Below are 27,977 nucleotides of genomic sequence, written 5' to 3'. Positions count from 1 at the left end.
CTTCCAAGAGAGGGATATTCACAACCCTACTCTGGTTAACTTCTTGTCCTGGCCCCAGGCCTCAGTGCTGGCCAGGGTCCACCGTGGTAAAGGGACCCCATGGGTGTCATCCTTCAGGACTCATATCCACAGAAGGCTTTTTTATTTTTAGACCTTTGACATATTTCCCAAGAGCGGTAGATGCATCTTTTTGTGCATGTTTTAATTTATTAACACAAACATTTAAAGTACGCTTTTTAAAAAAATAATCATGTCTTGGCATTTTTTCAGGTACTATATTCATAGCCTCAAAAAATAGAAGTGGTTGGGTCTCTTCTGCCCCTGGGGCTGGGTGAGCTGCAGCCGCACCGGGGCCATGTCCCTCCCTAGAGGGCGCTCCTCCCTTCCAGCCAGCAATGTTGCCCAACGCGGGAGGCCAGCTGTGCAGAACCCAGCATGCAGGCATCTCACTCCCAATTCAGCCTGGGAAATCGGAACTGAGAGCCCCACGATGAAGCCCTGAGCTGATGCTGACATGACACTAATTCACTGGAAACGAGGGTGATGGGGGCACAGAGCCTCTCATGCTGTGCGCCCTGAAGCCCACCCTCTGGGATGGAAGGGGACTTCTCACGCGAAGCTGGAGAGTTCAGACATTGTCCTGAGGGTAATGGGGAGCTGTTGAAGACAGGTGGGGATGAGCAGCATATTCAGAACTGTATTTTAGAAAGATCGGGCCGGGCGAGGTGGCGTGTGCCTGTAGTCCCAGCTACTCAGGAGGCTGAGACAGCAGAATTACTTGAACCCGGGAGGCGGAGGTTGCAGTGAGCCGAGATCACGCCATTGCACTCCAGCCTGGGTGACAGAGCGAGACTCCGTCTCAAAAAAAAAAAAAAGAAAAGAAAAAAAAAAAAAAAGAAAGGAAAGAAAGATCATTCGTGCCTCATGGGAGAAGGGAGACTGAGGCCTGGGGGTATTGTCCATGTATTTCTAGGTAGAAATTGCAAGTCAAGTCCTTTGGGGAACACAGCAGGGACCCTGTCCTAAGGGTTTCCAGTTGGAACCTTGACAAGACAAAGGCCCCTTCCCAAGCAAGACGTTTTCTCCCAAAGACAGGAAGCAGGCCCATCCCAGCCTCTCTCGGTGGTGCAGTGGTTCCTCCCCGTCAGGCCTGACAGGTGAGGGTAAGTAAGTGGGGAAAACTCGCGGGGGAGAAGAAGTCCAAGGCAAAGAGGGGATCATTTCTCACTGGGCGGGCTGGGGGTCTGTGTCCCGTTTTCTGGGGCAATTTGTCCATTTGCCTCCTCCATCATTTCCTTGTACTGACGCTTGAAGAAGCCAACCTAGGGGGGAGGACGAAGAAGAAACTCAGGAAGCCCATTCAGTGGAAGAGAGGAAAAGAGATGACTGAGGGAGAGGGGTCACTATTTCTGAAATCCTTGCTAGGTTCAAAGCACTGCACTAGGAACTTTATATGCATCATGTCATCTAGATTTAGCCAAAATTATTTTCTTTTTGAGATGGAGTCTCACTCTGTTGCCCAGGCTGGAGTGCAGTGGCGTGATCTCGGCTCACTGCAACCTCCACCATGCCCAACTAATTTTTGTATTTTTAGTAGAGACGGGGTTTCACCAGGTAGGCCAGGCTGGTCTCTTAACTCCTGACTTCAAGTGATCCACCTGCCTCGATCTCCCAAACTGCTGGGATTACAGCCATGAGCCACCGTGCCCAGCCTAGATTTAGCCAAAATTCTATGAGCTGGGGTAGAATCACCTTCACATTGAGAAATCAAGGCCCAGAGTGGAGCAGACACTGGCCTATGGTCAAAGACAAAAAGAACCCGTGGTGATGTCGACATTCAAACCCAGGTCTGTGCTTTTATATGATAATCTGCTGTCAAGGGAAACACGTAGAATGATGGAGAAGAGCAGGAAAGAAAGGGAGAAATATTAGAGGAAGCCTGGGAATCACAAAGCAGGGGGCCACTGGGGACAGGTGACATTGCAGGTGGGAAGCAGTTTCTCATATGAAGTGACCCAGTAAGAATGTGCCTCTGCCTTCAAAGTGAGCTCCTTCTCACTCTGCAAAAAGAGCGGGACCAGATGCTGGTGGTGTCAAGAGTGGCATAAAACACTCACTTTGTACAGTACCGCTGTGATGAGTGCCAGCAGCAACAGACCCCCAATGGAGCTGCCTACGATGAGGGGGGTGGGGTTGTGGACCTTGTACTTCTCCAGCACCGTTGTCGTCTGAAGTGGAAGTGACCCTGTCAGAGCACTCCCATCCTCCTACTATCCCAGACTCCTCCCAGGCTCCCCAACCTTTAACTCCCTCCCCTCCTTCCCCAGGCCCTGCTCCAAGAGGTGAGACACAGCAGCACCCGTGCCCTTAGGGACAGCTATCCTGCCCAGAGGCCTTCGCCCTCCTCCCCCAAGGCTTGCAAACCCCCCACCCAGCACCACAGATGTAGCCCTAGGGGCCCTCTTTCCAGCCTGGTCGCTGCCCTCCACATGGTCTCTACCTGAGCTCTCATAAATGCCTCCTGTCCTGGAAGCTGGGAGTACACGGATGTGTCGAACGTAATTTCAGCCACACTCACGACCGACACCTTCTTCTGCAATATCTGCAAAGGGGTTGGGGGAAACCTGTTGAACTGGCTCTGGGGGAGGCTCAGAGCTCTGGGGGTGCCCTGGCTTGCAGATGGGCACAGACATGCCAGGTCCCGCCTGAGTCTGGGGCAGGGGCTCTGTCGTTGCACCCACACACCTGGCGGACCCAGCCAAAGCTGAGGTTGCCCTTCAGGGTGAAATCCAGCTCCTCCTGGACGCTGAAGGAGGGGACGTCACAGCGGAACCGCAGGCAGCCAGCAATGGAGCAGTCCTGGGGGCAGATAAATAGCATGGGGCTGAGAAAGATGAGTGTGAAGGTGGGAGGCAGCATTATGCGGTGTGACTTGAGGGCAGCGGCCATATCCGAATGCAAGAGGGTACTTCAGCAGGATGGATATGGAACATGAACTCCTGGGTTAAATTCCTCTGATGTGGGGCCTACAGTGAGGGCCAGCCCAGAGCCCTCCTCACCAGCACGGGATTCTTCTGAATGTGCGCCAGGAAGTCAGATGCTGGGGGTGCGATTTTCTCTGAGGAGCACCGAAGGGATGGGTTCTGGGGGAAAATGCAGAGAACAAGTGTCTCAGCTGGGACATCAGGGACCCACATGGGGCACAAGGAATCCAGGTAGAAAGGGCATTCGTGGAGGAGCCACATGCAGTCCTTGGGTACCTGGGGGTGGGAGACCTCCACATCCATCCACACAGCCTCCTGGTTCAGCTCCACAGGCACCCAGAAGTTGATGCTGACAGGCAGGTCCCTCTGTCCCAGGTTATTGACCTGCACAGAGGGCACTGAGGGCAGAGCCCACGCCAAAGCCCAAATCCCTCCCCAGTCTCCGGCTCCCAGCCTCCCACCCCAGCCCAGTCTCCTGCGTCTCCACCACCTGCCTGGTATCTGTGCATGGCCACATGGCTTTCCTTCTCCTCAGACTCTGAGAAGTTGAGGTATTTGGTGAATTGTTCGTGGCTGGAGAGAGAAGACGCATAAGTGGATGTGAACTACCATGGGGCATCTGCAGAAGGCATTGGCTAGAGCATGAGAGGACAGGTGGTCGGTGGGGCCTTGGAATGTCCTGGAATGAGGGCTGTGGCTGAGTTAGGTTATAAGAGAGTTTAGAGGCCAGGCGCGGTGGCTCAGGCCTGTAATCCCAGCACTTTGAGATGCTGAGATGGGCGGATCACCTGAGATCAGGAGTTCGAGATCACCCTGGCCAACATGGTGAAACCCTGTCTCTACTAAAAATACAAAAATTAGCCAGGCATGATGGTGTGCACCTGTAATCCCAGCTACTCAGGAGGCTGAGACAGGAGAATTGTTTGAGCCCAGGGGACAGAGGTTGCAGTGAGCCCAGATCACGCCACTGAATGACAGAGCAAGACTCTCTCTCTCTCAAAAAAAAACAGAGAGAGAGAGTTTAGAGACCAGGCACAGTGCTCACGCCTATAATCCCAGCACTTTGACAGGCTGAGACAGGCAGATCACCTGAGGTCGGGAGTTCAAGACCAGCCTGGCCAACATGGAGAAACACCATCTCTACTAAAAATACAAAAATTAGCCAGGTGTGGTGGCAGGTGCCTGTAATCCCAGCTACTTGGGAGGCTGAGGCACGAGAATTGCTTGGAGCCAGGAGGCGGAGGTTGCAGTGAGCAGAGATGGTACAACTGCACTCCAGCCTGGGCAACACAGTGAGACTTGGTCTCAAAAAAAAAAAAAAAGAGAGAGAGTCTAGAAAAGCAGGGCTGGGCTTCAAACAAGTGCTAATTGGCTGAGTGCAGTGGCTCACACCTGCAATCCCAGCACTTTGGGAGGTTGAGGTGGGAGGATCACTTGAGGCCAGGATTCAAGATCAGCCTGGGCAACATAGCAAGACCCCATCTCTCCAAAACAATTTTTTAAATTAGCCAGGCATGGTGGCACACATCTGTAGTCTCAACTACTTGGGAGGCTGAGGTGGGAGGCTCGCTTGAGCCCAAGAGGAGTTCAAGGCTGCTGTGAGCTGTGATCACACCACTGCACTCCAGCCTGGGCAACAGAGCAAGACCTGGGCTTTAAAAAAAAAAAAATGAGGCAAAGAGCTCATAGCTGCCTGCAGAGGAGGCTGCCAGTGGGGCCGGGTAGTCGGTACAATGAACGGAGCAGAGAGCTCTGCCACTGACTGCAGGAGAGCAGGGGCCATGGCCTGCCCCTCCGCTTTCCTTCCATCCCTTTGTGGGGATGTAGGATGCCAGGGCTCTGTGGGACACAGCACAGAGTTGGGGTGGCCCAGGCTGACGCTGTTGACCAAATGCTACTGAGCATTGCCCCTTCCCAGTCCCCCACATACCTCCCCGGGGGCCCTTTTTTCCCATTTCCTTGGCTTTTCCGGGCCTGGGGCTTGGAGGGGAGGGAGGGCCCACAGCAGACTCTTCATGAGGTCTCAGTTTAACACCTCCTGAGCCCTTTTTGGGCACAAGCCTGGAGACCTGGTGGGCAGCTGGGACCATCACACAGGTGGCCAGTCTCACCACTGCCTCACTGCTTCACTCTTCCGGCACCTGTCCTCCAGCTGGCATAGTCCAAACACCAGCCCACCACGCCTACTCTGAAGCCTCATTCCTCCTCTGCCAATTTTTTGTAGAGCTAGGGTCTCACTATATTGCCCAGGCTGATCCTGAACTCCTGGCCTCAAGCAATCCTCCCACCTTGGCCTCCCCCAGAAATGCCCCAACCTGGCACTCCCTGTGCCCTAACCCACAGAGTCACACCTGCCATGTGTGGCCAAGCTGTGGATCACACCTGCCATGTGTGGCCAAGCTGTGGACCACACATGCCTAGAGTAGGTGAGCCCTGCCTGTGGGTCCCCTGCCAAGGGGTATGAGAGCCTGGGGCACACCCCAGCACACGAGCTCAGAGCGTGCACCTGGCTGGGAGCCTCCACGCATGCAGGTGCAGGTGAGAGTGGGAAACACCAGGCACAGGAGAACATCCAGCAAGGCACACCCCACAAGGGCGAGGGTTCATGTCTGGTTTTGATCACACATAATGGGGGCTCAGTAAATCTTCAATGAATGTCAAATGAATGTATGGAAAATAACCACAGCACCCTGCCTGGCACACAGCAAATTCGAGGAAGGCATTGGCTGAAGGAAGGTGTCTGCTGAAACACCTGACCTTTTAGTTTCAAACACCTTATCTCACCCTCTGTGGCAGCGTTTCAAGGCCTTTTTTTTTTTTTCTTTTTGAGGTCAGAGAGAAGAACCCTTTTTCCTGCAGTGGGGTACCTGCTGACCTGCTAACCACAGTGTAGACAGCATACTTCACCGGGAGCTCCAGCTGGAAGGTGGTCTTGCTGGTCCTGGGAGTGTTGTTCTCACTGGAGAAAGAGGAGAGACTCAGTTGCCAGAGGCCCCAGAGGAGGAGAATGGGGTGTGAGGCTGGAGATGAGGGGCACTGCCCCTGGCCTGGCCCGGCTCACCTGCTCACATTGGCTGTCAGAAGCAGCCGGTCTCCCAGGACAGCCTTGGGGGAGACGTCAAAGGTAGCCAAGAAGGTGATCTGAGGAAAAGGAACTGAGAGGTCACAGAGCAGTAAAGACAGGGTGGGGCAGGGGAGCAGTGAGGGGACAGAAGCCAGGCTGACCTGGGCGCCGCCACGGAAGATGAGGTGGTTGATTCTGCAGCTGGTGCTCCAGGTGCCCTGGCTCCCAACTGGGGCGCTGTCACATGTCAGGTGCAGGGAACGCAGCTGCCCTTGTTTCTAGGCATGAGAAAAAGTAGAGGAGTATTAGTTGAAATTGAAAGCAATGGCAAAAACCCAATTACTTTTGCACCAACCTAATATAACAGCATTCCAAAGACACGCCACGAAGTAGTGATAAAGCTTCCTGGAGCCCACCTTAAGCTTATGTTTTTGTTTGTTTGTTTGTTTTTTGAGACCAGGTCTCACTCTGTCACCCAGGCTAGAAAGCAGTGATGCAATCACAGCTCACTGCAGCCTCAAACTCTGGCCTCAAGCCATCCTCTTGCCTCAGCCTCCTGAGTAGCTAGGACTACAGGCACACACCACCACCATGCCTGGCTAATTTTAAAAAAATTTTTTTATAAATGGGACCTCGCTATATTGCCCAGGCTGGTCTTGAACTCCTGGCCTCAAGCAATCCTCCCATCTTGTCCCCCCAAAACACTAGGATTACAGGTATGAGCCACCATGTCCAGCCAAGGTTACGTTTTTAAAAGCTCCCCCATAGCTATCTGGTCAAACTTTCTTCCAAAGTAGAAATCTCAAATGTATTAAAATGTTCACCTTTTTATTGTTATTTTAAAGGCCTCTTATAATGGAAAATTTAAAACACATTAAAAAATAGAGAGACTGGAAAATCAACCCCATATAACCATCACTCATTTTAAGTAACCAACATTTTTCTACTCTTGTTTCTGCTATGTTCTCTTTCTGAACACTTTAAAGCACATTCCAAACACCATATTGTTTCATCTAGAAATACTTCAGTGTATACCACCAATAGATAAGGGTATTTTAAATGTAACCACAAGAACCAACAAATCACAGCCAACAAAATTAACAATTACTCCTTAATATACCAATATACTGGTCATGTTCTATTTTCTTAGATTGTCTCCAAAAATGTTATTTTACAGCTCATTTGTTAAAATCAATATTCAGCAAAGGTCCACCCATTACATTTGGTTGATATGTCTAGGAGCACTTTCATTGACAGTGATCACCCCTCACATGCAAGAGATGGCCTTTCCTGCTGTGTTCTTTTATACGTTAATCAAAATGCGCTTCCGCTGGGAATATTAGACTAAGAGAGACAGCAGAAATAACAACCAACCATCATGTATGGACCTAGTTCGAATTTTCGTTCAAATAGACCAGAAGTAAAAAGATATTTTTGAGACAGTTACACAATTTTGACTATGATCTTAATACCAAGGAATCACTTATTTCATTGGGTGTGATAATGGTGTTGAGGTCATATAAGAGGTCCTCATTGTTCAGAACTATAGAGTGTGTCTTTGTCTGTTCCCTGCTGCTATAACAGATTACCGCAAACTAGGTAATGTATCAATAGAAGCTTTGTGGTTCTGGAGGCTGGGAAGTCCAAGAACATGGCACCAGCATCTGGTGAGGGCCTTTGTGCTGCATGTGCAAGGCAGTGCATGTGAGAGTGAGAGGGAAAGGGGGCCAAACTCATCCTTTAATTAGAAACCCACTCCTGGGCTAGGCTCCGTGGCTTACGCCTGTAATCCTAGTACTTTGGGAGGCCGAATCGGGTGGATCATTTGAGGTCAGGAGTTCAAGACCAGACTGCCCAACATGGTGAAACCCCATCTCTACTAAAAATGCAAAACTTAGCTGGGCGTGGCAGTGGGCACCTGTAATCCCAGCTACTCAGGAGGCTGAGGCACAAGAATTGCTTGAATTCGGGAGGCAGAGGCTGCAGTGAGCCAAGATCGTGCCACTGCACCCTAGCCTGGGCAACAGAGCAAGACCCTCTCAAGGAAAGAAAGAAAGAAGGAAAAGAAAGAAAGAAAAAGAAAGAAGAAAGGAAGGAAGGAAACCCACTCCTGAAATAACTAATCTACTCTTGAGATAATAGTATTCATCCATTCATGAGGGCAAAGCCCTCATAACCTAATCACCTTTAAAAGGTTTCACCTTTCAACACTGTTGCATTGGGGATTAAGTGTCCAACACACGAACATTGGGTGATGCATTCAAACCATAGCAGAGTGAATAAGGAGGAGTACAATGACCCCCATGTCTGAGATTTGTTTTAAAATACTTTAGCAGGTCAGGCACAGTGGCTCATGTCTGTAACTCCAACACTTTGGGAAGCTAAGATAGGAGGACTGCTTGAACCCAGGGGTTAGAGACCAGTTTGGGCAGCATGGTAAGACCCCAACTCTACAAAAAAAATTAAAAAATTAGCCAGGTGTGGTGGTGTGTGCATGTGGTTCTAGCTACTCAGGAGGCTGAGATGGGAGGATCGCTTGAGCCCAGGAGGTCAAGGCTACAGTAAGCTGAAATTGTGCCACTGCACTCCAGCCTGTGTGACAGAGCAAAACCCTGTCTCAAAAATAAAGAAATAAAGAAAATACCTTAGCAAAGGGGAAAAATTGATGAAACAAATGTGGCAAAATGCTGCTAATTGTTGAATCTAGGTGACAAGTTTTGGGGAGGTTTGTTGAACTACTTTCTACTTTTGTAAATGTTTTAAATTTTTCATAATAACTTTTTTTTTTTAGACAGAGTCTTGCTCTGTTGTGCAGGCTGGAGTGCAGTGGCACAATCTCAGCTCACTGCAACCTCCGTCTTCCGGGTTCAAGCAGTTCTCTCACCTCGGCCTCCCCAGTAGCTGGGATCACAGGCACCTGCCACCACACCCAGCTAATTTTTGTATTTTTCGTAGAGATGGGGTTTCACCATGTTGGCCAGGCTGGTCTCAAACTCCTGACCTCCGGTGATCCGCCTGCCTCAACCTCCCGAAGTCCTGGGATTACAGGCGTGAGCCACCACTCCCAGCCATAATAACATCTTTGTTTAAAAAATCTGGTTCTCTTTGACTCCCCGTGGTCCTAGTTCTGCATTTTAAAGCAGGGATTGGCAACCAACAGCCACTACCTATTTTTATAAAGTTTTACTGCATCGCAGGTATATTCACTCATAAACTCATTCATGTCAATGGCTGCTTTCATTCCACAACACCAGAGGTTAGCAGCTGTGACACAGACCACGCAGACCACGAAGCTGAAATATTTACTATCTAGCCCTTTATAGAAAAAGGTCGCCAAGCCTTAATGTAGAGTGACCAATAAATTCAACCCCTTGCTTCTACAGAACAGTGTTTTAAAATATTTGAAGGCTGAGGTATGTTTTCATTTAAAAGAGGAATACTGATATAATATGGAATAGAAAGAAATTTGGGCAGGTTCCCCTCTGTCTCCACATTAGTGGCCTCTCAGGAAATCATTCCTGATAGTCAGTGTCCTTAAACTGCGATGCCCAAAGTTGAACACCCACACGAGCAGAGGCGTGCCCCAGATGGCACTACCACCTCCAAGCCCAGCCCGGGTTCTGAACCGCACGGGAATCTACGCTAACGCCCAGCCCTGCCTCCTCCTCCTTCCCCAGAGGGTGCACCTGGCCCTCTGCCACGTAGCGGTAGGACAGTCCTGCGGGGTGGGAGAAGGTGATGGTGGTTCCGTAGGAGTCTTCCCCGTCATTCCACACCATCACTTCTGCGTTCAGCTCCAGGTTACTCCCCACCAGCAGGGACTTCAAGCTGGGTATCAGGTGAAGGAAAGGAGAAGATGATTCTGTGACTGAGGCTAGAAATGGTCTGGGATAAAATGGGGTGGGTGGGGATTTGGGAGATAGACAGGGGACGGACCCCTGGGTTCTTCTTCTTCTTCTTCTTCTTCTTCTTCTTTTTTTTTAAGAGACAGAGTCCTGCTCTTTCACCCAGGCTGGAGTGCAGTGGTGTGATTATGGCTCACTGCAGCCTCCAACTCCAGAGCTCAAGCAATCCTTAAGCTTCAGCCTCCCAAGTAGCTGGGACTATAGGCATGCTCTACCACACTCAAGTGATGTTGTTGTTGTTGTTGTTGTTGTTGTTTTGTTTTTGTGGAAATGGGATCTCGCTCTGTTGCCCAGGCTGATCCCTAACTCCTGGCCTCAAAAGATCCTCCCACCTCGGCCTCCCAAAGTGCTGGGATTACAGGCGTGAGCCACTGTGCCCAGCCAAGACACCTGGGTTTTGACTATAGGATGAGACAATGTTAGGGAGAGCCAGAGGCAGGAGTCCCAGATTCCAGGAAGGAGGCTGGGGCAGTAGGGCAGGTCTAAGGTGGGGGCGCTCACCCTGGGAAGCTGAAGGAGATGCCGAGATTGTCCTGGCAGATATGGTCGGCTCCACAGTTCTTCTCAAAGGGTAGCTGCGTGGGAAGGCAACGGGGGGTTTTCTCCGAGACCCAGGCCCCACGCTGTGCACCCTCTCTGGGAGACCCAGTGCCAGGACTCACGGAGGCCGTGAAGTATCTCTGAGCATCGGCGGCCAGCATAGGCCGCAGGTTTCTGAAGGCAAGGAGGGGCTTGCCCACCAGCGTGAAGTTCAGACGCAAGGTAATGGGGGTCACAGAGTCCTCCACGCAGCTCTGGGGGACGGGCGTCGCGGGGAGCGGAGGGTAAGGGGAGGGTAAGAGCTGCGCTCGGCCTCATCCGCAGTTCTTATCCTGCCTCTGCCCAGCTCCCGCGCGGCTTCAGCTTCCTCCAGAGCCTGCTCAGCGTCACCGCCTTCAGGAGGCCTCCCTGACACCCTCTCTGTTCTCTCCCCTTGTTTGTCTTTGTTTTTTTCCTCCCCCCCCCCAGACCTCCCGATCAGCAATGACTGTTTTGGCCACCTATGCCCCTGGCCCCCAGGGCAAGGCCTGTCTCCCAGGAGCAGCTCGATAAACCCCTGTCCAGTGAATGCCTGAAAAAAAGCCCAGCCGGAAGCCCCAGAGCTCTCTCAGGTTGCCCAATTCTCTTTCCTGAAATCCAATCGTGTGGCCCCTGGAAATTGCAGCCGATCTCATCACTTGTTTGCTCGCTCACTCACTCACTGGCTAACGTGCAGTAAGCACGTCCTGCATGGCTGGTCCTGTGCTGGGCTGAGCCACAGGGAGGCCGGAACACAGCCTGTTCTCTCCCTGCCCTGCCTTCTGCCAGCCCCAGCGCGGCCGCCACCCACGTTCATGCCCAGACGCACCGGGAGCAGCAGGTTGAAGTTTTCACAGTGTGCCTTCAGCCCGAGGACTCGGACTCGGCTCAGACTCCGGTTCTTTGTTTCCTGGAAGGTGGCACGGGGACTCAGGCGGCCAGGGTCGAGGGCCAGGTCCAAGGTCACAGAGCTTTGGAGGTCACCTGTAGGCGGTCGCAGGGACGGCGTTGAGACAGGAACTCCTTGGGTGGACAATGAGCAGGGTGGGAGACAGGGGCCTGGGATGGGGGACTCCAGAGGTCAGGGTGTCCTGGGTTGGAGGGGAGGGGACTCACGGCTCCCAAGCAGGTTCTTAGAACGTTTGTCAATGTAAAGGCAGATGTTGGACTGTACCAGGGTCTGCTCAGAGACCACCTGCTCCCGACACTCAAACGCAGACCTGGGGATCTCGGCAGGTATGAACTGCATGCTCACCCCCACCCAGAGCACAGGTCTGGTCCTGCGGGCAGAGCACCGAGCTGAGGACAGGCCGTCGGCTCCTGGGAGCACCACGTGGGGTGGGCACCCCCATCTGAACCTAGGACCACCTGGGGAGCCTCTGAGAAAGGCTGCTCTCACCTGAGCAGGAGCACCTGGCCCCGGGCCCCCACAGCCAGGTCCACCAGTCCATCCTGGGTGAGGTCTTGACCCCCGCTCAGTGCCTGCCCAAAATACTGCAGCCTGGAGGAGAGCTGGGAGCCCGCGATCCGCTGGCCAGAGGAGAGAAGGGTGAATCAAGATGGAAAGTAGGGGAAGAAGTTGGAAATAAGTAACAAGGGGAATATGGAGGTAGGACCATCGGAAAGGGAGAGAAGGGGTGAGTTGTGAACAGATGTCACCAAGAAGAACCTGAAAAGAGGAGGTAGGAGTTGGGAGATGATTGCTAAGAAACAGATGTAAGAGTGGAGATAGGAAGGGTGTCCTGGTGACCCGAGTGTCATTCATTCGATCAGTCTCTAGTTCCAATTCTGACTCCTCCACGTATGAGCCACGAGGCCGTGGGCAAGGACTCAATCTGTCTGTGCCTCCGTTTCCTCATCTTTCATATAATGATACTATTAGCTCAGAGTTTAGCCATGCTCAGGAGAGGAATTCCTACGGTTCTTAGAACAGCACCCAGGATACAGCCAGCAGTCAATAATATATCACAATGAGTATTAAGGCTGAAAGGGACCTCAGAGTTTGTCCAACCTCACCTCCCTCGTTGCAAAGATGCAGGAGAGAGGTTGGGGACAGTGTCAACCCCAGGTAGCCTTTAAGAGGCTGACTGCAGACCTAACACCAGACCGTCCAACCCCAGGCCCAAGTCCCCTTTTTGTTTCTTGCTGTCACTCTGTCTCTTCAAAGGACAAGAAAAAGCCGCGGTGGGGTAGGGAGTGGTCGCACCCACACCCAGATCCACCCTCCCAGGCACTGCCTCCCCTGTAGAACCTATCACCTTCATTCCCAGTGCTCATGTTATGCCCAATCCCTGGAAGAATGTGCCCTTTAAATCTCTGTGCACCCTGGAACTAGCAGCCATTAAAAGTGATAATAATGGCTGGACGCGGTGGCTCACACCTGTAATCCCAACACTTTGGGAGGCCGAGGCGGGTGGGTCATCTGAGGTCAGGAGTTCCAGACCAGCCTGGCCAACATGGTGAAACCCCGTTTCTACTAAATAAACAAAAATTAGCTGGGCATGATGGCACATACCTGCAATCCAAGCTGCTCAGGAGGCTGAGGCAGGAGAATCACTTGAACCCGGGAGGCAGAGGTTGCAGTGAGCGGAGATTGCACCACTGTGCTCCAGTCTGGGTGACAGAGCGAGACTCTGTCTCAAAAAAAAAGGTAATAATAATGGGCAGGGCACACTGGCTTTGTGCCTGTGGTCCCAGCTACTCAGGAGTCTTTGGCAGGAGGATCTCTTCAGTCCAGGAGTTCGAGGCTGCAGTCAGCTATGATTGCGCCACTGAACTCCAGCCTGAGTGACATGATGAGATTCTGTCTCTAAAAAATAAAAATTAAAAAAAAGAAAAGAAAAAAAGGAATAATAACAAAATAAAAAGAGAAATTTACCAATTACTGAGGGAGTCTAGAAAGGCTAGGTGTACCCCCTCTAAATCTAAAAGTTCAAAAATAAAAATAAAATATTTGATTGGTAAAAAATGCTAACAATCGTTTAAGCCTTTAGCAAGGCATAATCTTTTTGCTGGTGGAGGGTCTTGCCTGATGGTGACACGGCTGACTGATCACAGTGGCAACTGCTGGAGGTTGGGGTGGCTATGGCAATTTCCTAAAATAAGACCGTGAGGAAGTTTGCTGCCTGGATGGACTCTTCCTTTCATGAAATTTCTCTGGAGCATGCGATGCTGGTTGATAACATTTGGCCACAGTAGAGCTTCTTTGAAAGTTGGAGTCGTCCGGGAGGTGAGGGGCGCCTCTGCCCGGCCGCCCCTACTGGGAAGTGAGGAGACCCTCTGCCCGGCCAGCTGCCCCGTCCGGGAGGGAGGTGGGGGGGGGGGTCAGCCCCCCGCCCGGCCAGCTGCCTCGTCCAGGAGGGAGGTGGGGGGGTCAGCCCCCCGCCCGGCCAGCCGCCCCGTCCGGGAGGTGAGGGGCACCTCTGCCCGGCCGCCCCTACTGGGAAGTGAGGAGCCCCTCTGCCCGGCCACCACCCCGTCTGGGAGGTGTACCCAACAGCTCATTGAGAACGGGCCATGATGACAATGGCGGTTTTGTGGAATCGAAAGGGGGGAAAGGTGGGGAAAAGATTGAGAAATCGGATGGTTGCCGTGTCTGTGTAGAAAGAAGTAGACATGGGAGATTTTTCATTTTGTTCTGTACTAAGAAAAATTCTTCTGCCTTGGGATCCTCTTGATCTGTGACCTTACCCCCAACCCTGTGCTCTCTGAAACATGTGCTGTGTCCACTCAGGGTTAAATGGATTAAGGGCGGTGCAAGATGTGCTTTGTTAAACAGATGCTTGAAGGCAGCATGCTCGTTAAGAGTCATCACCACTCCCTAATCTCAAGTACCCAGGGACACAAACACTGCGGAAGGCCGCAGGGTCCTCTGCCTGGGAAAACCAGAGACCTTTGTTCACTTGTTTATCTGCTGACCTTCCCTCCACTATTGTCCTATGACCCTGCGAAATCCCCCTCTGCGAGAAACACCCAAGAATGATCAATAAAAAAAATAAAAAATAAAAAAATAAATAAAAAATAAAAAATAAAAAAAGAAAGTTGGAGTCAATTCTCTCAAATTCTATGCTGATTTATCAACTACGTTTATATAATATTCTTTTTTTTTTTTTTTTTGAGACACACTTTCACTCTGTCGCCCAGGCTAGAGTGCAGTGGTGTGATCTCGGCTCACTGCAACCTTTGCCTGAGGGGTTCAAGCGATTCTCCTGCCTCAGCCTCCTGAGTAGCTGGGATTACAGACATCTGCCACCACACCCAGCTAATTTTTTTAGTAGAGATGTTTAGTAGAGAGGTTTCCCTATGTAGGCCAGGCTGGTCTTGAACTCCTGACCTCAGGTGGTCTGCCCACCTCAGCCTCCCTAAGTGCTGGGATTATGTAATATTCTTAATCTTGTGTTGTCATTTCAACAATATTTATATCATCTTCACCAGGAATAGATTCCATCTGAAAAAAAAAAAAAACACTTTCTTTCCTCATCTGTAAGAAGCAGGTCCTCATCTGTGCAAGTTTCATCATGAGACTGCAGCAATTCAGGCTCCACTTCTAATTCTGGTTCTCTATTTCCACACATCCGCAATCACTTCCTCCCCTGAAGCCTTGAGCCACTCAAAGTCATCCATGAGAATCAGAATCAGCTTCTCCCGAACTCGTGTTAATGTTGATATTTTGACCCCCTCTGATGAATCATGAATGTTCTTAATGGCATCTAAAATGGTGAATTTTTTTCCAGAAGGTTTTCAATTGACTTTGCCCAGATCCATCAGAAGAATCACTATCTATGGCAGCTATAGCCTTATGAAATGTATTTCTGAAATAATGAGACTTGAAAGTCGAAATTACTCCTTGGTCCATGGACTGCAGAATGGGTGTTGTGTTTGCAGGCATGGAAACAACACTAATCTCCTTGAACATCTCCATCAGAGCTCTTGGGTGATCAGGTGCACTGTCAATAAGCAGCAAACTTTGGAAAGAAATCTATTTTTCTGAGCAGCAGGTCTCCAGAATGGGCTTAAAACACTCAGTCAAGCATGCTATAAACAGATGTGCTGTCACCCCAGCTTTGTTCCATTTCTAGAGCACAAGAAGGGTGGATTTAGCATCATTCTTCAGGGCCCTGGAATTTTCCAAATGGTAAATGACCACTGGCTACAACTTGAAGTCCTACCAGCTGCATTAGCCTCTAACAAGAGAGTCAACTTGTCCTTTGAAGCTTTGAAGCCAGGCATTGACTTCTCTGAAAGTCCTAGATGCCATCTTCTTCCATCGAAGGCCATCTCATCTACACTGAAAACCTGTTGTTGAGTGTAGCCACCTTCATCAGAGATCTTCTGGAGAACTTGCTGCGCCTTCTCCATCTGTACTTGCTGCTTCACCTTGTACTTTTATGTTGTGGAGATTGCTTCTTTCCTTAAACCTCATGAACCCTGCTGACTTCCACCTCTGCTGACTTCCAATTTTTCTTCTGAAGCTTCCTCACGTCTCTCAGCCTTCATAGAACTGAAGAGCATTCGGACCTTGCTCTGGATTTGGCTTTGGCTTAAGGGGATGTTGTGGCTGGTTTGATCTTCTATCCAGATCACTCAGACTTCCTTCATATCAGCAATTAGGCTGTTTCACTTTCTTATCATTCATATGTTCACTGGAGTAACACTCTTAATTTCCTTCAATAACTTTTTCTTTGCATTCAGAATTTGGCTGTTTGGTGCAAAAGGCCTTCAGCCCATCTTGGCTTTTGGCATGGCTTCTTCACCAAGCTTAATCATTTCTAGGTTTTGATCTAAAGTGAGAGATATGTGGCCAGACGTGGTGGCCCACGTCTGTAATCCCAGTGCTTTGGGAGGCCAAGGCAGGCAGATCACTTAGAGTCAGGAATTCCAGACTAGCCTGGCCAACATGGTGAAACCCCATCTCTACTAAAAACACAAAAATTAGCCAGGCATGGTGGCACCCACCTGTAATGCCAGCTACTCAGAAGGCTGAGGCAGGAGAATCACTTGAACCCCAGAGGGGGAAGTTTCAGTGAGCCAAGATCACACCAGTGTACTCCAGGCTGGGTGACAGAGTGAGATCCTGCCTCAATAAATAAATAAATAGTGAGAGACATGTGACTCTTCCTTTCAGTTGAACACTTAAAGACCATTGTAGAGTTATTATTTGGCTTAATTTCAATATCATTGCATTGCAGGGAATAGGGAGGCCACAGGAGAGGGAGAGAGAGACAGGGGAGCTATCAGTGGTGGAGCAGTCAGAACACACACATTTATGAAGTTCGCCTTCATATACGGACGTGCTTCATGGTGCCCCAAAAAGAGGACAATAGCAACATCGAAGATCACTGATCACAGATCACCATCACAGACATGATAATTACAAAAAAGTTTGAAACATTGTGAGAATTACCAAAGTAACACGGAGACACAAAGTGAGTGCATGCAGCTGGGAAAACAGCACTGATAGACTTGCTCAGTGCAGGGTCGCTGCATACCTTCAGCGTGTAAAAAATGCAGTATCTGCAAAGCGCATAAAACAAGGTATGCCTGCATGTGATGGGTTGTGGGAATTGGTACGAACTGTTTGCAGTTTCATGACAACACGTGGGCCCTTGTTATTCTCAACAGTCTTTCACCCTCTTCTTTAGATTCCCCTTCAGGTGTTAAACTATGTGTTTTTTGTTTGTTTGTTTGTTTAGAGATGGAGTCTCACTCTATCACCCAGGCTGGAGTGCAGTGGCGCAATCTCAGCTCACTGCAACCTCCGATTCCTGGGTTCAAGCCATTTTCCTGCCTCAGCCTCCCAAGTAGCTGGGATTATAGGCATGCGCCATTACGCACAACTAATTTTTGTATTTTGGGTAGAGACGGGGTTTCCCCATGTTGGCCAGCCTAGTCTGGAACTCCTGACCTCAAGTGATCTGCCTGCCTCAGCCTCCCAAAGTGCTGGGATTACAGGCGGGAGCCACCGCGCCTGGCCAGTTGTTAAACTATCTTAATGATAATTAAAACAGATTATAACAACATGATACCTATTGTGTGCCAGGCACTTCATGCATACTAACTCATTTAATCCTCACAGCAGCAGCTCAATAAGGTTGGTTCTATTAGTATCACCATTTTACCAGTGAGAAAACTGAGCACAGAGAGGGTGAGTTACCTGTCAAAGATCACACAGCTGGTGTGTGACAGAACTGCAGGGACCTTCCTTGGCACTTTTTTCTTTTTGGTAACAGCTTTTTTGAGCTATAGACCACATAGCACACAACTCACCCCTTTAAAGTATATGACTTAGTGCCTTTTGGTATGTTTAGAGAGTTGTGAAACCACTACCACAATCAATTTTAGAACATTTCCACTACCCCAAAAAGAGACTCCACACCCATTAGCAGTCACCCTCATGCCCCTGACTTTCCCCCACACCCAGCCCTGTGAAACTGCTCATCTACTTTCTGTCTCTACAGATCTGTCTGTTCTGGACATTTGGCCTGAATACATGTGGCCTTCTGTGTTTGGCTTCCCTCACTTAGCATGTTTTATAGGTGGAATTGCCAGATCACATGGCAACTCTATGTTTAACTTTTTGTTTGTTTGTTTGTTCGAGACGGAGTTTTGCTCTTGTTGCCTAGGCTGGAGTGCAGTGCCGCGATCTCGGCTCACCACAACCCCCACCTCCCAGGTTCAATAGATTCTCCTGCCTCAGCCTCCCAAGTAGCTGGGATTACAGGCACCCACCACCATGCCCAGCTAATTTTTTTTTTTTTTTTGTATTTTTAGTAGAGATGGGGTTTCACTGTGTTGGCCAGGCTAGTCTCAAACTCCTCAGGTTATCCACCTGCCTCGGCCTCCCAAAGTGCTGGGGTTACAGGCATGAGCCACTGTGCCCAGCCTATGTTTAATGTTTTGAGGACCTGCCATGCTGATTTCCAAAGCAGCTGCGTGGATTTACATCATCCCCAGCATGGGGGAGGATGCCCGGTTCTCCACATCCTCACCAACACCTGTCATTATCCGCCTTTGTTTCTAGCCATTCTAGTAGGTGAGAAGTGGCATCTCATTATAGTTTTGATTTGCTGATGACTAATGACATTGAGAATCATTTTATGCACCCATTGGCCCTTTGTACCTCTTCTTTGGAGAAACGTCTACCCTATCCAAATCCTTTGCCCTTTTTTTTTTTTTTTTTTTTTTTTTGACACGGGATTGTGCTCTTTCACCTGGGCTGAAGTGAAGTGACGCAATCATAGCTCACTGCAGCCTCAACCTCCTGGGCTCAGGTGACCTCCCACCTCAGCCTCCCGAGTAATTGGGACTACAGTTACTACAGCACCACAATGCCTGCCTAATTTTTAAAATTTTTTCTAGAGATGGGGTCTCCCTATGTTGCCCAGACTGGCCTGAAACTCCTGGCCTCAAGTGATCCTCCTGCCTCAGCCTCCCAAAGTGTCGGAATTACAGATGTGAGCCACCTGGAGCAGCCCCTTTGCCTATTTTTTAACAGAGCTTTCTTGACTTTTGCCAAGAAAAGCAGCCCTTCGTTCTCAGGGAACCCTGCTCCCTTGGGGTGGAGGGCGGCTGCAGGGATGGGCATTTGGTGGGACCTTGATGGCAGGAAGGGAATAAAATCATGTAGCATCCAGGGAGGAGAGGGGCGAGTGGAAGGGAAGGTTGAAATGACTGGACCTAAGTGGTGAGCAGCAGGGAGCCGGGAGACTGCACACCGGGTTAGAGGTCAGGAGGCCGGAGTGCCCTTCACCATCTCGGACCCACTCTGAACCTCCAACAAACCAAGGCCCTTGTCTTCCTAGTGTCCCAGATTCCATCTGTAAAATGGGTTTTCTGTGCCTGACCTGTGTACCTTGTAAAACTGGCAGGGGCCTGGGCATGGTGGCTCACGCCTATAATCCCAGCACTTTGGGAGGCCGAGACAGGCAGATCACCTGAGGTCAGGAGTTCAAGACCAGCCTAGCCAACATGGCGAAAGCCTGTCTCTACTAAAATACAAAAAATAACCGGACATGGTGGTGCATGCCTGTAATCCCAGCTACTCTGGAGGCTGAGGCAGAGAATCGCTTGAACCTGGGAGGCGGAGGTTGCAGTGAGCTGAGACCACGCCACTGCTACAAGGTGCTCAGAGCTGGGCAAGGGAGGTAGGAAAAGGTAAAAAGGGACAGTTTTCCAGTATGACAGAGTGGGAGAGGCAAGAAGCAGGCTGCTCTAGTGACAGAAATGGGACACGGCCTCACCTGGCTGTGGGAGGGGCTGATGCTGGGTCCCAAGACTCCGTGAAACAGGTAGACAGCACCCCGGTTCTCCTCCTCTCCTGGGGCCCCGATGACCACGTCTGTCAGCTTGTCCCCATTCACATCCCCCAGCACTGTCAGAGCCGCCCCAAAGCGACCCCAGGGGTGGCCCTGCTCCCCGTAGAGAACAGCATCACACCACCACCTTCTCCACTGCAGAAAAAAAGCAGTGCCAGGCCCAACCCGGGCAACCCCTCCACCCACACCAGACCCCACCCACCCCAGGCCCATCAGCCACTCACCCCCCTGGGCAAGGGACACACAGACACCTGGCCCCCTCGGGTCTGCTCGTAGTAATGGGGGGCCCCGATGAGGACCAGGTCGGTGCTGCCGTCGCTGTCTACGTCCACGGAGCAGAGGGAGGCCCCGAAGTAGGAGCCGATCTGAAGGGCAGAGCCTGGGTCATGCTGCCTGTCCCTGCCAGAGGCAGCCCTGTGGGCCAGGTCCCACCTCTCCCCAGGTACCAGGACCTCCCCCAAGGCCCTCAAAGCCCCTCCATCCTCTCCTCTGCCCCAGCCACCTCCCCTACCCTCATCCTCCCCTCTGGCTCCTGTCACGCCCAACCTGAGTCCCCGTGACTTCGGCCTTCATCCTCCATTGCCTGGACACCTGGGTGAAGATGACAGCCTTCCCGGTGTGCTGGTAGCGGGGGGCCCCCAGGACCAGGCTCTGCACCCCTTTCCAGAGGGCCAGCTCGGTGGAGTAACCTGAGGGGCCCAGGCCTCAGCACAAAGGCCCCCATTCCCCCTCCCCAGAACCCTGGACCCCCACCCCGGGCAGCACAGCACCATCTCCCCTCCCCAGAACCCTGGACCCCACCCTGGGCAATGCAGCCCCCATCCTCTCTCCCCAGAACCCTGGAACCCACCCCAGGCAGCACAGCGCCCATCCCCTCTCCCCAGAACCCTGGACCCCCACCCCAGGCAGCACAGCCCCCATCCCCCCTCCCCAGAACCTGGAACCCACCCCGGGCAGCACAGTGCCCATCCTCCCTCCCCAGAAGCCTGGACCCCACCCTGGGCAGCACAGCCCCCATACCCCTTCCCCAGAACCCTGGACCCCACCCTGGGCAGTGCATCTCCCACCTGTCCCCAACCCCTGGCTGTTTCTCACCCAGGTAAGAGTCCCTCATGTCCACATTCTCCTGAGACATGTTGATGAAGGTAGGGCTCATATTTGGGGGGTACAGGAAGGCACCTCCAGACCAGGTGAAGCTCCCCACAGCCCCCAGAACGGGGCCATCCTGGGAGAAAAGGATTCCAGGGCTGAGCAGAGGCCGGAGCAGGAAGACAGCATGTACCAGAGATATGCCTTCCGCCTGCGCCTCTTACCCACCTGACACCCACCCTGGCCTTCCCTGCTCCCCCTCCCCTCACGGCACATCATCGGCCTAAGGGGCCCCACTCACAGGTGTGAACACAGCGCTGAAGCCCTCCTGTGCCATCTCCAATTCGAAGGAGCTACTGCTTGTGGTCTCCGTACCTGGGGGAAGGCATGACGCTTGAGTGCCAGGGAGGGAGACGGGCTTTGCCAGGTCCAAGAACACTTCAGCTTTAGGAGAAGCTAAGACTGGAGGCTACAGGGAGAGCTGGTGCCTGTGACAGGGACCAGGCTCTGCCCTCCAGATCAGCTCCGACTTCGGGGCCCCCCTCTGCTCCATGGATGTGGACAGCGATGGCAGCACCGATCTGGTCCTCATCAGGGCCCCCCACAGGTCTACAAGCAGACCCGAGGGGGCCAGGTGTCCGTGTGCCCCTTGCCCAGGGGAGTGAGTGGCTGGTGGGATGTGGGCTGGGTAGGGCCCGGTGTGGGTGGAAGGGTCTCCTGGGTTGGGCCTGGCACTGCTTTTTGTTCTGCAGTGGAGCCGGTGGTGGTGTGAGATCACTCTCTGTGGGGAGCAGGGCCATCCCTGGGGCCACTTTGGGGCAGCTCTGACAGTGCTGGGGGACGTCAGTGGGGACAAGCTGACAGACATGGCTATCGGGGTCCCGGGAAAGCAGGAGAACCGAGACGCTGTCTACCTGTTTCACGGAGCCTCGGGTTCTAAGTGGAAAGGTGTTAACGGCTGAGGATTCCCCAAGCGAAGAGCTCCCTTCAGACTCACCCTCAATGGCAAAGATCTTCTCCTTCAGTTGGTTTTGAATATCTTTCAGAGCATCAAAGTCCTCCACTTTAAATATGTGTTCCTGGGAGGGCTTCGATGCAATGTCATTTAATTCTTTCCAAGAATTTCTGTTTTGAAAAGCTAATCCAACCTGTCCCCAGAAAAGATCAACTCAGTAAAAATAATAAATCAAATGTGCCTGTGTGCACTGGGTGCAACATCTTCCAATAACCCCACAAGATCAACATGATCACACCCGGTGGACACAGGAGAAACACGAAGCCCGGACAGCATCAGGGAGTTTAGGAGAAAGGATCATGGTCTCCAGTCTGGGGCAGAGTTTTCATCCTTAAGGCAGTAAGAGCCGAGAGAGCTGGTGTTTCTATCCTTGAAAGGGATGTTGTTGGCGGTGGTTCACGCCTGTAATCCCTGTGCTTTGGGAGACCAAGGTGGCAGAATTGCTTAAGGCCAGGAATTTGAGACCAGCCTGGGCAACATAGCAAGACCCCATCTCAACCAAAAAGAAAATAGCCAGGCTTGATGGCACACACCTGTGGTCCCAGCTACTGGGGAGGCTGGGGTGGGAGGATCACTGGAGCCCAGGAGTTCAAGGCTGCAGTGAGCTAGGATTGCACCACTTCCTGGGTGATAGAGCAAGACCCTGTCTCAAAGAGAAAAGAACATACACAGAAAGGGGAGTTGCCCTGAGAGGAAGCCGTGGGAGAAGTGGGAAGCCATCCCACGCCCTACCCCAATTGCATAGCGGATGATGCCTGCTGCATCAGCCATGGGGATGACATCCTTATAATCCAGGCTGTCGCCTTCTTTCTTCCCATCAGTGATGACAATGAGAATTTTGGCGGCATCCCTACGGGCCCCATATGAGGCATGGAACAATCGGTGCCTATCAGGAAAGGAGAGGTCTTAGAGGCCTGTGAACCAAACCACACTAGCCCCTGGTGCCCTTGTGAAAATTAGAAGATGCCTTTTCCTTTGGGAGGCCCCAGTCCCACCCAGAGGCCCCAGCTTGGCAAGGGTATCACGGGCTGGATTTTGGTCCCTGCCTGTCCCCTTCTCGTGGAGACAGATGAGGCCCAAGGGAAGACCTGGGTGCTTTGGGACTGTGCCTGGAAGAAATCAGGACTCACACGACATTTTGGATGGCGGTGGCCGTGTATGTAAACCCTTGCAGCTGGTGAACAGAAGCCAACAGGCTGAGGGGGTTTGAGCTGCGCCTGAATTCCTCGAAAGTGAAGTGTGTTTGGAATTTGTTGGAGAACTGCATCAGGGAAAACTGGGAGAAGCACACAGGGCTGGGGCTGAGGCCATTTCACCAGGATCGAAGCACCCACCCCCAGCAGCCTCCCTCCCCCAAAGGCACACCTGGGTGCTGGGTCTCTGGAACTGGCTTATCACAGCTCTCACGAAGTTCATCATCGTGGCAAAGTTGCGGGAGGAGATGCTGCCTGAGCCATCGATCAGGAACACAATGTCCTGCTCCTGTCTTGGGCACTCTGGGGAAGGAGGTGGCACCGGTCCTCCAAGTGACACTCCTGGAGTCCAGGACCGTGGCCTCCTGGCCACAAGAGCTCACTCTCCCAAAACCCTTCCTCCCCTAAGCCCCTAGTCTGGCGATGGGAGTCAGGCTCCACACCCTGGGTCCTCTCCTCATCAGGGGCAGAGCTTCCCTAACCCCTTGCCTGGAACAAGGCCCTTCATTCTCTTAAAGTTGCCTAAAGAGGCTGTGATGAGCCAGGCGTGGTGGCTCACGCCTGTAATCCCAGTACTTTGGGAGGCCGAGGGGGGCGGATCACGAGGTCAGGAGATCGAGACCATCCTGGCCCACATGGTGAAACCCCGTCTCTACTAAAAATACAAAAATTAGGTGGGTGTGGTGGCACGCGCCTGTGGTCCCAACTACTTGGGAGGCAGAGGCAGAATTGCTTGAACCTGGGAGGTGGAGGTTGCAGTGAGCTGAGATCGCACCACAGCACTCCAACCTGGCAACAGAGTGAGGCTCCATCTCAAAAAAATAAAAAATGAAAAAGGCTGTGATGAAGCTGCTCAGCCCCATCAACAAAAGAGTGAAGGTCAGACTGGGTGCAGTGACTTACTCCTATAATCCAAGCACTTTGGGAGGCCTAGGCAGGAGAATTGCTTGAGCCCAGGATTTCAAGATCAGCCTGGACAGCATAGTTAGACCTCACATCTACTAAAAATTGTTAAAAATCAGCTGGGCATGGTAGCTCTTCTCTGTGGTCCCAGCTACTCTGGAGGCTGAGGTGGGAGGATCACTTGAGCCCAGGAGTTGGAGGCTGCAGTGAGCTGTGATTGTACCACTGCACTCCAGCCTCAGTGACAGAGTAAGACTATCTCTAAAAAAAAAGAAAAAAAAAAAAACCAGGAAGATTTCTCCAATTCAGACGGTAGGAAGCAGAGGGCCTACCCCTCCACCACCCTGGATATCTGTGCCCCTCCCTGGACCCACCCCTCCTTCCTCCCTCAATGTCACCCCATCCAGCAATGACACAAACTGGCACCAGTCCCTAGCCAGTGTTTGTCCTCACTGCTCAGTGCTGAATGGTAGTTTTGTTAAATTTCTTTTTTTAATTGAGATGGAGTCTCACTCTGTCACCCAGGCTGGAGTGCAGTGGTGTGATCAAAGCTCCCTACAGCCTCCAACTCCTGGGCTCAAGCGATTCTCCTGCCTCAGCCTCCCCAGTAGTTAGGACTAGAGGTATGTAACAGCATGCCAAGCTACTTTGTATTTTATATTTATTTTTTGTAGAGATGAGGTCTCACTATGTTGCCCAGGCTGGTCTCAAACTCCAGGCCTCAAACAACCCTCTTGCCTTGATTGTTAATATTTTAAACAAATCATCCCAGGCAACAGCCACACACTGGGCCTGTTCTGTTCTCAGCTTAAATACAGGCCCCCACTCCCCTCCTGTGTGAAGTTAGCATCTGTCCTGAGAAGAGACGATCTTCCAGCACCTGGAGAGGAAACCCCCTTCCATGTGACCTCTCAAGCATCCCCTCTGCCCCAGAGGCCTCCACCGGAGAGACAGGTGTCCTGGGCATTCTGATGGGTGCCCAGGCCCCTGTGGATGGAGTCTGGACCCACGGAGGTGCTGGAAGGCACACCCTATTTGCAGCCAGATGTCAGTCTCACCAAAGGCTTGAGAGCAAATGTGAAACCAGGGGGAGGCCTCAGCCTGCCAAAGCCCACTGTTTTGCTTCCTTATCTTTCTTCCCCATCAGCACCAGGGAAGTCAGGCCCTGCGTCTCAACCTGCATGTGCACACGCACACACACATACATGCACACACATGCATGTACATGTGTGCATGTGCACATGTATACACATGCATACATATACACACATGTACACACACACACGTTGCTCACACTGCACTTTCACTGACCTTTCCTAAACTACGGCACAAACCAATTGGTCATATCCCAGGACCCATTGGATGAAAATAGATCCTCTCCTCTAAAAATAACAACAGCTGGCCTTCATGGGGCTGTCGCCTGGTGCTAGCTGCTGTGCTAACCCCTGGCCATGAATCATCCTGTGTTGCTTTCAGTGCTGGGTGTGTTATTATCCCCATCCAACAGATGAAGAAACTGAGGCTTGGAGAGGTTAAGGTCACAGGAAAGGTCCGGCAGCGTGCGGGCGATCGGCAGGATGTGCGGGCAGCAGCGTCAGGAACCACTGCAACACGTGGTAACTCTTTTTCCAGATCCCTTCTTTCTGATCCACTCTGGCAAGACTGTCTCTAGCCCACCGCACCCCCAATTGGATGTGCGTGAGCTCCTCAAAGCCTTGGTGGTCCCGACACTCACCCTGCCTGGACACCGGGAGCCTCTGGGTGAGCTGGGTGGGGCCCAGGAGGAAGCAGAGTCCGGTGAGGTACATGTTCCTCCCGCACTCGTGGTGCACGGTGGGGCCGCAGGCCTGGGGACACAGCGGGCTGCTGGGGGGCTGCCCCTGCTTCCTCCCACCCTCACATTCCGGAACCTCCACCCTACAGGAGACTCCCAGCCCCCCGCGGCCCCGGCTCCTCCCTCCCTCCCTCAGAAGCCTCCTGTGACCCAGGGCCACTCACCAGCAGCTGGGAAGGGCTGGTGGTAGACGCCAGGGACAGGCCCAGGGACATGTTCACGGCCTCCGGGGGCACTGTGGGGACAGATATGTGCATGGTCACTCTCGGGGGTACAGAGAAGGCTGTGGAAGAGCTGGGCAGGGGTCACCTCCACCTGGGAGACAAGGAGGTCTGACGGTGAAGGAAGCTGTCGGGTCTTGACAGAGCTGCGGGAGTGCGATGGGCGGGGAGGCCTTAAGGGGCCAGGAAGCATATCTGAGGGTGAGGGTCTCAGACACAGTGGAAGCTGAAAGTGACACTCCGGTGAGTCCACGGGCCCCTGGAGCAGGGAAGCCTGGGAGCCCGGCCCTGGGTCCCGGGAGGGGCGGTGACTCACCCTGCAGGCCGATGGGCTCACAGGCACCAGTGCTGTAGCCACACTGGTAGAGGCCACCCGTTTGGTTGGCAGCTGTTATCTTTTGGGGGGCTCCAACCACCACCCTGCGAGGAGACAAAGAACACTTTAGGTAAGAGTGTGGACGCTGCAGCACAGCTGCCACTCCGGCAAGTTTGCGTTCCCTCCCTGAGCCTCAGCTTCCTCATCTGCAAGATGGATTTTAATAATTTAAAGTCCATGTGGAAGGGATTTCTGTCTGTTGGATTCTCTGGCGTATGGAGACAAGAAATATTTGTTGAGTCTGGGTGTGGTGGCTCACACCTGGAATCCCAGCACTTTGGGAGGCTGAGGCGGGAGGATTGCTTGAGCCCAGGAGTTTGAGACCAACCCAGGCAACATAGTGAGACCCTGTCTCTATATATTTTTAAATGTATAGAAAAAAAGAAAGAAAAAACAAATAAGTGTTTGTTGCACGACTGATTCCTACTCACAGGCTGTCGTGTGGACTAAATCAGCATCCACCTGTGATGAGCCTGGCACTGCACTTACTGCTCTGTAAATGTTAGCTGTGAGACCGTGCCTGCCTTCAAGGCAAATCTTCATTAGCCAGGGCAGTCGCTACACCAGACAGAGAGGAGAGTTTGCAAATAACAGGGCAGGGCCGGGGGCATGGGGCCCTGAGCAGGGAGAGGATGGATGGAGCCAAAGGCCAGCACCACCTGGGCCTCACCAGGAGTTGGCATACTGGACCACGCTGTCTCCAAACCCAGCGCTGTCCACACGGAAGGCTGTCAGCTCCTCTGTGTCCAAGTTGAAACCTAGAGAAGTTGCTAAGGCTGGGAAAGAGGTGGGAAGAGAGCTTTGGAGAAGGGTCTTCCTTCTGCCTGGCTGCCCTCCACCCCCGGCCCCAGCGTCCCAATCTCCCCTCCGAGCCTGATGCCCGGGGTGCCTGGGTCTTCTGGACACCCAACTCATCCCCTTCTCTCCTTCCCAGGGTCCAGGGATGCCCCTTGCCCACCATCCACTATCGAGTTGCAGTTCTCCATTTCTGCAGAGCAGTACCCAGGCTCTAAAAAGGATCTTTCCCCAACGTGCACCTCGGGCGCTATGAGAGTGAGTCCAGGAAAACTTGCGGACCAAAGCATCCTGTCCACAGAGCACAAGTTGGCGCATTCTGCCTATTTTAAAAATCTCTGCAGTACAGAGACAACTGGCCTCTCTTCCAGCATCTCTGGAACTCTCCCAAAATTGGTTCATCAATATCCTCTCCCTCCACAAACTCCAAATCTCAGACCCTATGTGCCTGCCTCCCCCTCAGGCTTGACTGAGTCTCTCTTCCTACCCAGATCCTAACCCCCCAGCCTGAGCCCCCAGTTCAGGGCCCTGGCTCCCTTGGGCCTGGGTCCCCAGCCCTACTTCATTGGGGTCCAGGCTCACCTGTGAACAGGAGGAGTGCTGCCCTGGTCCTGGTCATGACTAGAAGGTCAGATGTGGAGCTCTGAGCTCCTGGGCCGTTGCAGGAAGAGCTGGACCAAGGTACTGAGGAAGCAAGTGGGCAGAGAGGTGGCCAGGGGAAGGAAG

At 52.2% G+C, this 27,977-nt stretch overlaps 1 protein-coding gene and 1 pseudogene across 7 annotated transcripts, besides 3 other annotated features; one reads left to right on the top strand and one right to left on the bottom strand.

Annotated features, from left to right (window-relative positions):
- Positions 17-517: an enhancer, noted in NCBI's record as "H3K4me1 hESC enhancer chr16:31393929-31394429 (GRCh37/hg19 assembly coordinates)". NCBI's record gives its function as "activates a minimal SCP1, AML or CMV promoter by ChIP-STARR-seq in naive H9 embryonic stem cells {active_cell/tissue: H9 hESC(naive)}" and the evidence as "EXISTENCE:reporter gene assay evidence [ECO:0000049][PMID:30033119]".
- ITGAX (integrin subunit alpha X) lies at positions 126-27,949 on the bottom strand. 7 transcript variants are annotated; one of them, NM_001286375.2, is made up of 31 exons: positions 27,834-27,949; positions 27,127-27,232; positions 26,397-26,500; positions 26,024-26,094; positions 25,761-25,872; positions 23,295-23,425; positions 23,060-23,205; positions 22,662-22,815; positions 21,912-22,062; positions 21,216-21,289; positions 20,921-21,050; positions 20,372-20,514; positions 20,050-20,190; positions 19,751-19,960; positions 11,911-12,041; positions 11,628-11,791; positions 11,341-11,495; positions 10,616-10,747; positions 10,455-10,528; positions 9,735-9,876; positions 6,210-6,326; positions 6,046-6,125; positions 5,860-5,943; positions 3,479-3,557; positions 3,261-3,368; positions 3,060-3,143; positions 2,746-2,859; positions 2,501-2,602; positions 2,118-2,228; positions 1,229-1,322; positions 126-657 (listed from the first exon to the last, which is right to left on the bottom strand). In NM_001286375.2, exons 1-31 carry the CDS (start codon positions 27,868-27,870, stop codon positions 629-631), a joined length of 3,510 nt encoding a protein of 1,169 aa, NP_001273304.1. In that variant the 5' UTR covers positions 27,871-27,949; the 3' UTR covers positions 126-628. The 7 variants fall into 7 exon arrangements, with proteins under 7 accessions (NP_001273304.1, NP_000878.2, XP_024306031.1 ...); NM_000887.5 differs by having other exon boundaries at positions 126-1,322; XM_047434074.1 differs by lacking the exons at positions 126-657; positions 1,229-1,322; positions 2,118-2,228; positions 2,501-2,602; positions 2,746-2,859 and having other exon boundaries at positions 5,852-5,943.
- Positions 518-1,018: an enhancer, noted in NCBI's record as "H3K4me1 hESC enhancer chr16:31393428-31393928 (GRCh37/hg19 assembly coordinates)". NCBI's record gives its function as "activates a minimal SCP1, AML or CMV promoter by ChIP-STARR-seq in naive H9 embryonic stem cells {active_cell/tissue: H9 hESC(naive)}" and the evidence as "EXISTENCE:reporter gene assay evidence [ECO:0000049][PMID:30033119]".
- Positions 13,960-14,566: an enhancer, noted in NCBI's record as "NANOG-H3K27ac hESC enhancer chr16:31379880-31380486 (GRCh37/hg19 assembly coordinates)". NCBI's record gives its function as "activates a minimal SCP1, AML or CMV promoter by ChIP-STARR-seq in naive H9 embryonic stem cells {active_cell/tissue: H9 hESC(naive)}" and the evidence as "EXISTENCE:reporter gene assay evidence [ECO:0000049][PMID:30033119]".
- Positions 21,421-22,405, top strand: LOC100422479 (integrin subunit alpha X pseudogene; annotated as a pseudogene).

This window comes from Homo sapiens, chromosome 16, assembly GCF_000001405.40.
Source record: "Homo sapiens chromosome 16, GRCh38.p14 Primary Assembly".
NCBI lineage: Eukaryota > Metazoa > Chordata > Mammalia > Primates > Hominidae > Homo > Homo sapiens.
The sequence above is the reverse complement of the archived record's forward strand: the minus strand, read 5'-3'. Positions and strand labels throughout refer to the sequence as shown.

What these genes read in the sequence shown, in the direction of transcription:
- ITGAX (NM_001286375.2), bottom strand. Translation starts at nt 27,870, where the DNA reads ATGACCAGGACCAGGGCAGCACTCCTCCTGTTCACAG. An exon ending in AGCACTCCTCCTGTTCACAG is followed by an intron (nt 27,233 to 27,833) that starts GTGAGCCTGGAC and finishes CCTCTTTCCCAG; the next exon opens with CCTTAGCAACTTCTCTAGGT. An exon ending in CCGAAGTCACGGGGACTCAG is followed by an intron (nt 20,191 to 20,371) that starts GTTGGGCGTGAC and finishes TCTGCCCTTCAG; the next exon opens with ATCGGCTCCTACTTCGGGGC.